This window comes from Homo sapiens, chromosome 12 (genome assembly GCF_000001405.40).
Source record: "Homo sapiens chromosome 12, GRCh38.p14 Primary Assembly".
NCBI lineage: Eukaryota > Metazoa > Chordata > Mammalia > Primates > Hominidae > Homo > Homo sapiens.
Genome location: NC_000012.12, coordinates 39602526 through 39615294, shown reverse-complemented (window position 1 = coordinate 39615294; position 12769 = coordinate 39602526). Strand labels below are relative to the sequence as shown.

Sequence of the window (12769 nt, the reverse complement as noted above, 5' to 3'; positions counted from 1 at the left end):
ATATATAATGTATATTAGAGACAACTCTATAGACAAGATTATGATGTAGTTTTGTTAGTCAGTGCTTGGACACACTGGTGTTATTAAAAAACCCTGGAGTATTCAACATAGAACAGCAAAAATGCAGCTATTAAATGGTGACAAATTAACCCCACAGAGACCAGTAAGAAGTAAACAATGTATACAAAGAATCTAACAAGCTTATTTAACAAGATGTAATAATATATTTAAAAATAAATCCCACAAATCCTGAAAATACCATATTAAATTAAAGAAACATTAAAATTTTAGATTGAAATATAATAACCACATTGAGGCAAGTGAAACAAAGTATTTCTTAAAGCTTCTTTCAAAAGAAAATTTTTATATAGAGAAAAGTAATGTAAGAATTTCATAGACAGAAAAATGAATTCATATGACAGACTATTAATTGAGAATGTTCTTCAAAATCTGTAATATCAAGGGTTACTATCTGTGCCTGTAATGTTTGCAGGTATATGTATGTATTTACTAAATATATTTGTCATACAAAGACTTAACACATGAAAATACCGAGTGACTTTACTTAGCCAAAAGAATTTTTTTAAGATAATAGTATATCTTTAAGGTTTTAGTTCTTGGAATTACATACCATGTATTCTAATCTAATCTTCAGTCATAGTTTACACGTATGCCTTTAGTTTGTCCCTTATGTTAGAGGTAAAGTGCATGATGCTTTATATATTTTAAGGCAAAAAAAAAAGGTAGAAAAATAGGTGAGTCAGAAAGAAATGGCAAGGGGAAAATGTGAAGTAGAGGGGGGAAAAAGAGGATAAAATGAAGAAAAAAGAAGGCTGCTGTTCAAATGTTGGCTCTGCTATTTGATAGTTGTCCTTTCCTGGGAAAGTTACATACACTTTATGTACATCAGTTTTCCTATCTTAACTATAGAGATAATTATACACATCTTTCAAAATTTTTACGAAGTTACATGTAACATACTTAATGTGTTTTGAAACAGTCCTTGGCTAAGTAAGAACCTAGGTAGAAGCAATTGTTAATATTTATCATATTCTTACCCTGTGGCTCCTGAGTCAGATATTCTGGATCATATGCTGGCTTCTTTGCTTTCTAGACTGTGACCCTGGGCAAATCATGTAACCTTTTGTCCTTCAATTTCCACATTTCCAAAATGAGAGAAATGATAGCAGCGTTGTTACAAGCATTAAATAAGATCAGATATGTGAAACTTAGAACAAGGCCTGGCTCACAGATATTCAGTAGATGTTTGCTAACATGATCACTGCTGTAGCTTAAAGGAGCACGTTCAAAAGTGATTAGGAATTCAGAGGTGAAAATGGAGAAAGGAAGAACCCGCATAATTTTTGTTGGAAGGGAAAGGAAAAATAATTCTATTGCAGATTTGCTGTACTATCCACCTAAAACTTTAAGTGAAATCTTATGGTAAAGACAGGATTATGTTTGTATTCAAATTCACATAATAAAATCACATATACAACATGGCATTTTCACATCAAAAGAGGAGCTTAAAGGCCATCTGGTCTAGAGCCCCAGCTTTGCCTAAAGTCACACAGTTAGTTAGCGGAAGCTCTAAGGATGGAGGGCGTTATATAACTCCAGATGCACTGCTTTCTTCTACTGCATCATGCTGCCACCATATTAGCTACATTGGAACTTATTCTATAAGGAAGATGGGTAAGTTTGAGGCAGAGTAACCATGGGACCAAATGGTTGGCAAAGAGGCATTGAAGTGTTAGTTATGTAGAGTTTCTATTATACTATTTTTAAAGACTATCACCCCTTTCTTTACTTAGTATTAAGAGAATGACTGAAATTATGTGAAGAAAATAGTTACCTGAGGTCTACAACCTCAATTCTTTTTTTTTTTTTTTTTTTTTTTTTTTTTTTTGAGACGGAGTCTCGCTCTGTCGCCCAGGCTGGAGTGCAGTGGCGGGATCTCGGCTCACTGCAAGCTCCGCCTCCCGGGTTCACGCCATTCTCCTGCCTCAGCCTCCCAAGTAGCTGGGACTACAGGCGCCCGCCACTACGCCCGGCTAATTTTTTGTATTTTTAGTAGAGACGGGGTTTCACCGTTTTAGCCGGGATGGTCTCGATCTCCTGACCTCGTGATCCGCCCGCCTCGGCCTCCCAAAGTGCTGGGATTACAGGCGTGAGCCACCGCGCCCGGCCCACAACCTCAATTCTTTAACATTAGTAGGCTGCCTTTCTTCTCTTGATATCAAAAGCTGTTCTGGGCAAGGAGGCCAGTGAAAGCTATGAGGTTACTCTGTCAATATCTTATCACAGACACCTAACAGGCAGGAAAAAAGAGTGTCTAAGCTACTAGCACTGCCAGTAATGTCAACATGTTTGTGATCTGTGAGTGTGAAGCAGGATATCAGGAGTAACTGAAAGGCACTGCATGCACTCCAGTAGCATGGGTGATGCTTTTATTCCTAAAATGTACTGCCAATAAGATTATAACCATAGCTTCAGTTTCTGCTGCATTATTGTCTCATATTCCAATGCCAAATCGTTGAAATGTTATTTTATATTGTGGGCCAATTTGGATATAATTGTACTCTTTTTGACCAATGAACATAGCAGTATTATCAATACATATCAAAGGCGTACTTTAAAACTCTAATTAGGTATGCATAAAAGTGACTACAATTGTTTAAAGTATAGCATATATGCCAATATGGGCATAATCATTAGTGTACCAGTTAATGAGTTGTCACAAAGTATAATGACCTCACTATCAAGTAGTATTTGCTAGTTTGAAAATTTCATAAATAGTATTATATAATACATACTCTTTTATGACTAGCTTCTTTGACTCAGTATTATGCTTATGAGCTTCATCAGTGTTACTGAGTATAACCATAGCATATTTATTGACTTTGCTATATAGCATCCCGTTGTATGACTATACCATTTTATTTAACCATTCTGTTGTTAGCAGACATTAGATTGTATCCAGTTTGCTGGGTATTAGTAATAGCGCTGTTAAGAACATTTTTGTCCAGATCTTTTGGTGTATGTATATACATATCTGTGAGTACTTAACTAGAAGTAAAACTGCTAGATTACAGGCTATGCATAGGTTCAGCTTTAGCAGATTTTGTAAAACAGTTTTCCAAAAAAAGTTCTTTCAATTTACATTCCCAACAGCAATGTGTAAGGGTTCTATTTCCTCCATATCTTTGTCTGGCTTTTTCATTTTAGACATTCTCATGAGTGTATAGTGGTACTTCACTGTGGTCTTACTTTGCATTTCTCTAATGACTATTGAGGTTAAGCACTTTTATTTACTCATTGGACGTTTGGATAGCCTTTGTTATGACGTGCCTGTAAGTCTTTTGCTCATTTTTACATTGGTTTATCAGTTTTTTCTTACTGATTTGTAAAAGCTTTTATGTATTATGTAATGAGTCATTTGTTGGATATATCATATACATGCACACCACACACACACACATACACATACACACACACACATTTAATCTCAAATATATTTTCCCACCCTACATCTGGCCTTTTCACTCTCTTAATGGTGTCTAATAGAAATTCATACTTTTACTATAGTTTAATTCACCAATAATTTTCTTTATGGTTAGTGGTTTTATGTCCTATTTAAGAAATATCTGCCTAACTCAACATAATAAAGTTATTCCTTATTTTATCTTCTAGAAATTTCCTTGGTTTTTCATTTCACATTTAGATCTTCAGTCACTTAGAATGGATGTTTATATATGGTGGAGGATAGGCGCAGGTTATAAATTTTGTCAAGATTTGTCAAGATGACAAAGAGAAAGATAAATGAAGAGAAACTCAGATGATAAGCTTGAAAAAAGTAGAAGAATAAACTTACTTTTTATTTTTTAAAAATAATACACCTTATTTCTTTAGGTAAGTTTTAGGTTTACAAAAACTGATCAGAAGGTACAGTGGTCTTAAATACCCTCTCCCCCCATAGTTTCCCCTATGCCTTATATCTTGTATTAGTGTGGAACTTTCATTACAACTGATGAACCAATATCTATTCCTTATTAACCAAAGTTCATAATTTACATTAGGCTTCACTCTTTGTGATGTACATTTGCAAGGGTTATGGTAAATATATAAGGCATAACCTTAAGTTTAAAATTCTTCCCCATCTTTTCTGTGAAATAACAAGACATGTGACCAATTTTCAATATGTACTCTTTACTATCAGAGCTCCAAATTAGCAGTAAAATGAACAGGTATAGTGTTAAATATGAAATCCTTAAATGAGGAACTTTTGACAAAATAGCTAAAATATTCAGTGAGGACAAAAAGAATGTATTGACCTAGAATAAAAACTGCTTAGTATTTTAGGTCATGGATTTATATCTCTGGCACTAAGGAATCTGGCCCTGTCTTAGAGGTCAGGCAGTTGGCTGTTGTGTGCATGACAAAATACTACTGGCAATGCTCTCACAGTACCTGCCAAAGAACAACTAGTAGAATAAAAAGCCACATAAAATCTGATCTGGAGGAAGCTTTTATTATTTTATTGCTAAAAACATGAAGAAGACCCAATAAGCATTAATCTGCCAAAGCAAGACAGAAATTATCATGCCATATGAAATGCCAGTCCATCTGTGCAAATGTTTTTTCCTCTTAACAGAAGCTGTCGATGAAAACTACTATTTGAATCCCTTTTAACCCAAATTCATAAAATTCCATAATTATTTTAGATTGTCAGCCAGATTTTCTATGAGCCAAAACTATTCTTAGCATTTTAACTGATATAAGAATTTACTATTTTGGTACCCCTTTTGTGGCTATCTAAATTGTATCACACATTTACATGTCTTTAAGAATATCTATATTCTGTTCCCAGTCTATTTATGTAATCACATCTTTTGCTTCTCCCTCATACCAATGCTCATCAGCCTTTTTGTTTTCCTTCTTTAGGTAAACTAACTAATTAACTTCAAGGGGACTAACAGTAGTTCTCTAGAGGAGTGATTATCAGTAAGGCTAGGAGAGGACACATTGGACTATGGTAAAACATCTCCATGAACTCATGGTGATTCTGATAGTCCATGAAATCAGTGCTTGACGTCAACCCATACTGTAAACTTAACCAGTTTGTCATTCAATTAGCATTACTCGACATGTTCCTTCTCTGTGCTATTGCTTATGCCATACTTTTAATCTATTAAAATTTTATGCCATCTTCAAGACGTCTCTCAAAATCTACTCCTCCATGAAGCATTTTCTGTCTCTTGCAGCAAGTAATAATTTTTGCCCTCTCCAAACACCTTGCATTAACTCATCCAGGCTTCCCTACATAATTGTTTAGGAATTTGACATCTCTCTTCTACCAAGCTGTAAGCTCTCTCAGGAAAAAAAATCTGAAAATCATATTTTTTCCTGTATCTTGCCTAATTTCTTGCACATCTAAGTGTCTAGTAAATACATGCTGGGTGAATTTTACCTCATATTGTGCAGGTATCCCTTTCAAAATAAGTTGAGCTGTCTATGTGCAAAAAAAGTAAAAATATCTGGTAATTACAGCAAGGCATAAAGTATATATTTGCACTGAAATCCTTTGAGATAAATTAGAGTGAACTAAATATCAAAATGGGCCTATGGCTATCTATATCACTGCTACTTTCCTCCTTAGCTTATAATATCTAGTTTGGAAATTTGAAGATAATGTATAGAAGGACCAGCTAGAGAATCAAATTGATGAAAAGATTAAAGTAACAACCTGGAGAATGTAATTTTGAATACTAAAACTAAAATTGAGTGGATATACAATAATAGCAACGACAACTACAAAAAATAATAACTGCTGATATTTAGAGCACTTACTGTGGGCCATGTATTGCACTAACGCTTTATTCGGTTTTCACCAATAACCCTTAGAACCCTAAAAGATAGGGCTGTTTGAGATAGTTATGTACCTCATTTTACAGGTGAGAAAATAGATGTGGAGAGGTAAGTGTCTTGCCCTACTTACCTTACTACTTGCTTATAAGGAATAAAACCTAGATTCAAACCTAGTCTGATTCCTAACTCTTAACCATAATTCTCCATTGACAGTAATTTAGGATGTTCATCCATCCATCCATCCGTCCATCCACTCATCCATCCATTCAATGCACATTAAGGAGTACTATGTGTTAGACACTGTGCTGAATACTAGGAATAAAGAATAAAACACACAGTCTTGACCTTCAAAGAAATTATAGTCCACTGAAAGAGACAAGGATTCTTAGCAAAACCTTTAGTAAAGTGTTAACTCTTAAAGAAGGAGAAAAAGTTAAGCAAGAAAGAAAGGAAAGTATATTAAAGTCCAGAGAAATCACATATACAAATGCCAGAGGATTAACAGAGTATGCCATGTATGGGGTGCTGCTGGAGCGTAGGGTGAAGGATGGTTGAGAAAGGTAGACAGAGGCTAGATTATGAGAATCAGCTAATTTGCATTTCTATTAAAGAAACCACACCATAAATGTTTGTTTATTAGTAGTATTAATATTTAATTACCAGATCAATACTATTTTATTGCCCAGTAGGTATTTTATTTTATATTTTATTATTTTATTTTATTTATTTTATTTTATTTGAGGCAGGGTCTCACTCTGTCACCCAGGCTGGAGTGTAGTGGTGTGATCTCCGCTCACTGCAACCTTCACCTCCTGGGTTCAAGCGATTCTTGTGCCTCAGCCTCCCAAGTAGCTGGGATTGCAGGAATCTGCCATCATGCCCGGCTAATCTTCGTTTTTTTTGGTAGAGATGGGGTTTCACCATGTTGGCCAGGCTGGTCTCAAACTCCTGGTCTCAAGTGATCTGCCTGCCTTGGCCTCCCAGAGTGCCAGGACTACAGGCATGAGCCACCGCACCTGGCCGCCCAGTAGTACATTATTGCTCCCTCCTAAGGGCAGGGAGTCCAAGTGGAAAGGGTTGAAAGAATGCTAAATGAAAATAGTTTTAGTTCCTTTTGATTTATTTGTCCCAACTCTCATTTTGGAAAAAATAATAAAACAAGAGGAACTTTAAACAAAATCTGATACAAACACTTATTTCTCTTCTCTCCTCTCCTCTCTCTTCTTTTCATTTCTTTTTTTCCTTTCCTTTCTTCTTTTGAGAAGAGGTCTCACTCTGTGGCCCAGGCTGGAGTCCAGTGGCATGATCTCTGTTCACTGCAACCTCCACCTCCCAGGTTCAAGTGATCCTCCTGCCTCAGCCTCCCAAGGAGCTGGGACTACAAGCATGCGCCACCACATCTGGCTTATTTTTGTAATTTTAGTAGCGACAAGGTTTCACCATACTGGCCAAGCTAGTCTCAAATTCCTGACCTCAAGTGATCCGCCCACCCAGGCCTCTCAAAGTGCTGGGATTATAGGCATGAGCCACTGCACCCAGCCCAAACACTGAATTTTCAATGATTCATTATATTTCTAGAAAATTGCTACTACTAATGAAAAATTAATATGTGGTTGTTTTAGCCACAATTTAGTTTGTATAATATAAAACATTAAGTTACTAAAAAAAAAAAAAAAAAAAACTCAAGTTTTGTAATTTGTTTTTATATCTAGAGGATGGCCAAAAGCAAGTTATGGTTAGTGAACGGACAGAAGCCTTTACCACTGCTCGAAATTTACTGGCCTCTGGAGCTGATGCTATTGAAAGGATTATGTCTTCATACAAAGAGGTACTTGCATTTCTTATTGTCAATTCAATTAAAATAAAATTTATGAAAATCAAGCAAAATGTCAATTACCAAGTATACTTAGTATTTTGGAAACATATCTTTTCTCTGCCAAAAATTGCTGCGTATAATCAAGATTAAGGGCAGCAATTCACAAGTGTAATGCTGCTAATATCCTTTGTTTTATAATACTATCAATTGTTATCTCTCTTTTTCCCTCTATAGTATGATATCTTTGTTTTCACATTTTAAAGAAACCCTTAGGTATGAACTCTGGAGCCAGAGTGCCTAAATTTTCATTTTATGAATTTACAAATTATGTGACCTTGGGTCAAGGTCGCTACAGCGTCTGTGTCTCTGTTTCTTCATCTATAAAATGGGGATATGATAACACTGACTTGTGGGGTTGTTGTGAGTTGATACATGTAGAAAATTTAAAACAGCACATATTAAACACTCAATAAATGTTAGCTAATAACATTTCTTATATATCTCGCAAACTTTTACCTTTCCTTCATTAAATGGGTAATACTTTCTTACCATTCCGCATTCTTCCTGCAGAGTTTGGGTCATCCTGTTTTGTGTCCATCTCAGTGTATGTCTGATGTTTTACCACATTATAGCTGTGTATATTGCCTGCATCACACCACTCAGCTCCTTGAAGCAGGAACTGTCTTACTCATCTTTACATTTCTAATATCCATTTTCATACTTGGAATACTGTGTGGTTAATAAATATTTGTTGACAAAATAGTAATAAGACCTGCAGATACCACAGGGCCAAGGTTAAAATTACTTAATTTAATTCAGATATTACACAATGTTCCCATAAAATTATTCTCACTACCAGTTAGTCTTATGGCTATCATATCAATATAAATTCTAAAGCATCTTTGTAAATTTAGCTGCATATTAAGTCAGCCTTGAATAAACTATATAAAAGAATTACAAAGGGCTAGCAAGCAACTCAATTTTTTTAAAAAGTTCAAATAGTAATTTTGATAATCTGGAGACACAGTCTTTGGGATAGATTTGTTGATGTAATAAATTACTTAAAATTAAATGACAAATCAAAATTTTATTTATCTCACATTAAAATATTGTGCTATCTAGGTTAGAGAAATGATAACAATTAGTTTTTCTAAACTGTCTCCAACTCAACGAATGATTGCATTTTGCTTTATTTTTGCCTGAATTTACTTTTAATCATAAAATGTTCACTTCTAAAAATTCTTGTACTGCTGTGACGGCACATGAAAGCACCCACCATGCCTTCTCTGCTAGCACCAGAGGGACCAAGTTTCCTTTGTAGAGTTAGGGTTCTAAGACAAATTCCCTGTCTTGTACCCCAGAGTAATTTGTCTACCGGCACATTCTTAGTTTTTGTCAGACACTTCCTACCGTCTTCACATTCCATCCTGATCCACTGACTCATTGCCTCCTGCCTTTCTTGAATTGACCTCTACTTGTGGTTTTGGAATTCTTTTCTACCCAAATATTTATATTTGCCCAGGTTTCACTTGAATCCCTATTTTGTTGATCTTTAAATTTGTTTTCCTCTACTTGACAACTCAAGAGGTTCTTCCAGATAACATTAGAAATCATCATTTAAATAGCTATAACATTAACATATAGAAATGAAATAACAGTGTAATTACAGATCTCTCAGTAGAGATGTGTTTCAGAAGGCTTTTATAATAATACATACTCATTTACTGCTTATGTTTTGCATACACAGAAATTTTACACAAATGTCAGCATTGTTGTATTTTTCCGCAATTTATTAAGAAACATTTATTTCTGAGATACCTTGCTTATTCTTGTGTATTCTTGTGCAAGAACTATCCTTAGTTCTTGTGCATTCTGTTTCATTGAGAAACATGTTCTTGATAGGAAATGAGTCACCTTTCAGAGTACCCTGATAGCAAGGTGTTCTCTTAATAGAAAAACAGCAGGAGGTTAACCAAAATGAACAGCTGAGAGAATAGGAACAAGGCACCATTCCATTGAGCTTTGTGGACTAAAGTAGAGATTTAGCTCATCTTATAATCTTACCTAGAAAAAAAAATATATTTAATGTTTTTCTTTGGGCATATAAATCATGTTTGGCTTCAAAAGAAGCTGGATTGGGGGAATTATACTGAAAAGGATTTGAAGCTTTTCATTGAGCTTGCTCTCAATATTGGTATCCTGCCAAATAGAGGAATTTTGACAATCAATTTGGCTCAGAAACATTCATTTCATAATAGGACAAAAAGGTACTTTTCTCCTACTTAAAATCTTCTATTTTAAATAGAAAAAGGTACCAAAAATAAAAGATTATAATTTCATTGAATGACCTTAAGCTTTCCACAAAATTTATAATTTATTGGAAATGAATTTCATCATGTAAACAGAGGTCAAATCAGAAATTTGACTGAAAGATCCTTAAGTGTCATTAATATTCTGAAATCTGTATATTATGTTTTATAATTTCAATCAAACATATTATTGTGTTATAGTGCTCTTTTGTACTGTCATGTGTTTTAGTTTTCAGATGTATTATATATATCTCATGTATAATGCAATATAATCTTTTACATTAAGTCAAGAAGCTTATCTGATTACATATTTATTTAAAATATTGTCTTGGATATAGTAACTCTATTTTATATCTCTGTGTTGCTTTTAGGTCACTGAATTAGCAGGCTACACTGCTCGAGTGTACAATATGTTTTGGGTCTTTGATGAAGTAAAAAGAGGCATTTATAAGAGAACTGCTGTCATTCAAGAATCTGAAAGCCATAGCAAGAATGGAGCTAAGGTAGAATTACCTCTCAGTGACACATTGGCAATTAAAGGTATTAAACTCAAGTGCTTTTATATTTTCCTATATTTAAGTATTTATCAACAGAACCAAAGTTTAAGAAGGTAGCTTTTAGTAGTTACAAAGTACCAACATTTAAATAACCAACATTATTTAAACAGCAATCCCTAATATTAGTATTGCAATTTGAGGGGTGGTGACTAACATTACCACAAAAACACAGTGTTATGCTACTTTTATTTAGGACACAATTTTCCAAATTATTTTTGGAAACTGCACATATGGCATAATGAATCGTTTGCTTTTAAAATTCATCTAACAAATAGAATTCGAGCTAATGTCATGTTGTTCTTCATTATACTGTTTCTAAACTTAAATTTGGTTACATATTTTTTAAAATTGCATTATTCTATGTCTTATTTCCCTTTTTTGCAGCACTGTGGTTTTTTTTCTATAGGATATGTTAATTTAGGGAAATAGAGTAGTAGTAAAAATTAAGGCTGGGTTATTTCAGATTGTATAGCTTTGCTATTGTAATGATGTTGACATTCAATTATTATAAAATGTTTCTCAGAAAGATTTTTCAAGTAGATGTGTCAATATGTACAAATTTGCATTACATTAAACTTTGCTTCAGGTCTGGATATCTATATTTACATTTGTTTCTGTGATTTATTACTGTGAATTATCTTTATAATTGAAATTACCTGTTATACTGCATAATAATTTACGTTATTTAATCAGAAACCTGTGATAATGTTTGTATCTTACACTTTTTCTTAATTACAGGAAAAGTTATTGATGTGGATCACGGAATTATTTGTGAAAATGTTCCCATAATTACACCAGCAGGAGAAGTGGTGGCTTCCAGGCTAAACTTCAAAGTAAGATGATATTCAAGAATCTTCTGATTGTTGCCATCACACTAATACAAAACAACTCAGAATTCATGTACCTTATGTTAAATACTTGGAGGAGCATTTGGAAAGGGGAAATCAAGAAAGGTATGCACAGTGGCTCAATTACAGAAGCAGTTATTCCTCAGAAAGCAGAGAGAAAAGAGAAATTTGATTTCTACTGCTTTATTGCCAGGTTGAAAATCAAAATTATAGTGTACAAGGTAATTTTGGGGAACAATAGGAAATTTCATGAGAAATTTGTACCTGGAAATAAATTTTAATTTTTTGCCTTATAGAAATTATTTTTTAAAAAGCCAATACTGTAATATATTTACTAAAATATGAATAGAAGTCATTAGCAAGTTTAATTTTGTCAATATACATTATGTGACTTAAATTTTTAAAATAATTACATGTACTAATGTACTATTATAAAATAATCAGAAGATTTATGGATTGGAATTTAGTTTTTAATTCTGTTGACAATAATTTCTTATTTAATATCTTATGTATTAATTACAAAAACTAAAAAGTAAAAGTATCTAATAAACCTGACTCTCTGACTTAAGGCATTATAAAATTCAAACACATGTTTTGGGATTCAAGTACAAAATAATTTGCTGACAAGCATTAATGACATAATATAGCAAGTTGAGCTTAGTTCAAACAAAGAAATGATTTGACTTGATAAAAGAATTACAAACATGATAACACATATGCTAATTAATGATTTTAGTATGGACTTTAGTCAAGGTTTAATTATTAAAGATGTATTTGCAAATATTTTGGGTTACTGAGAGTTGAGAGGATGAGTAGCATTGAACAGGGTAAAATCCTGTGTCAGTAAATTTAAAGAAATTGTATTTTTAGCTGCAATTTGGTCAGACTTTATTTTTCCACATATAGACCTATAGGATGATCTAATTACTAGGATCTGACCACAAGCACCAATTAGGTACTCATGGCATACACAGAGTATTTAACTATTTATTAATGGTTTCATAATTTATAATTTATGATTTTATAGAGAGGGTGTTTTGGTCTGGATACATTTTATAATATTGATTCTTGTTGCTCTATTTATTTAATAAATAGTGTACATGGCTTGAGCTTTGCTTACTAACTACATTAGTGTGGGCATATCACACTCTTTCTGCAGAAAAATTTAGAGCCATTTCTTTTACATAGAATAAACTAAACTAAAAATACTCAGTCTAGTGAAAGTATCTTAGAAGGTCTGAAGTTGTACAAAGATATGCATTAGTAAAGTATACTTTCTTCATAATTATTTATTTCTAACTCAGACAGAAAATTATATTTAAATTCTCAGGTCCCTAAAATATAATAGGAAGTTCTGTTTCCTCTGCATAG

General features: G+C 33.5%; 1 protein-coding gene across 11 annotated transcripts in view; it reads left to right on the top strand.

Annotated features, from left to right (window-relative positions):
• ABCD2 (ATP binding cassette subfamily D member 2) overlaps positions 1–12769 on the top strand; it is an 88779-nt gene that overhangs the window by 4509 nt on the left and 71501 nt on the right. For 8 of the 11 annotated variants that reach the window (NR_182046.1, XM_017018992.3, NM_001412789.1 and 5 more), the window contains exons 3-5: positions 7581–7696; positions 10365–10533; positions 11289–11383. Coding sequence is in view for 9 of the 11 variants with exons in the window: in XM_017018992.3 (XP_016874481.1) it covers positions 7581–7696; positions 10365–10533; positions 11289–11383 (380 nt within the window). In the remaining 2 variants the exon portion in view is untranslated. Of the gene's footprint in view, positions 1–7580; positions 7697–9787; positions 9952–10364; positions 10534–11288; positions 11504–12769 lie in introns of those variants that run through there. The other 3 variants (NR_182045.1, NM_001412793.1, NM_001412791.1) reach the window with 3 other exon arrangements.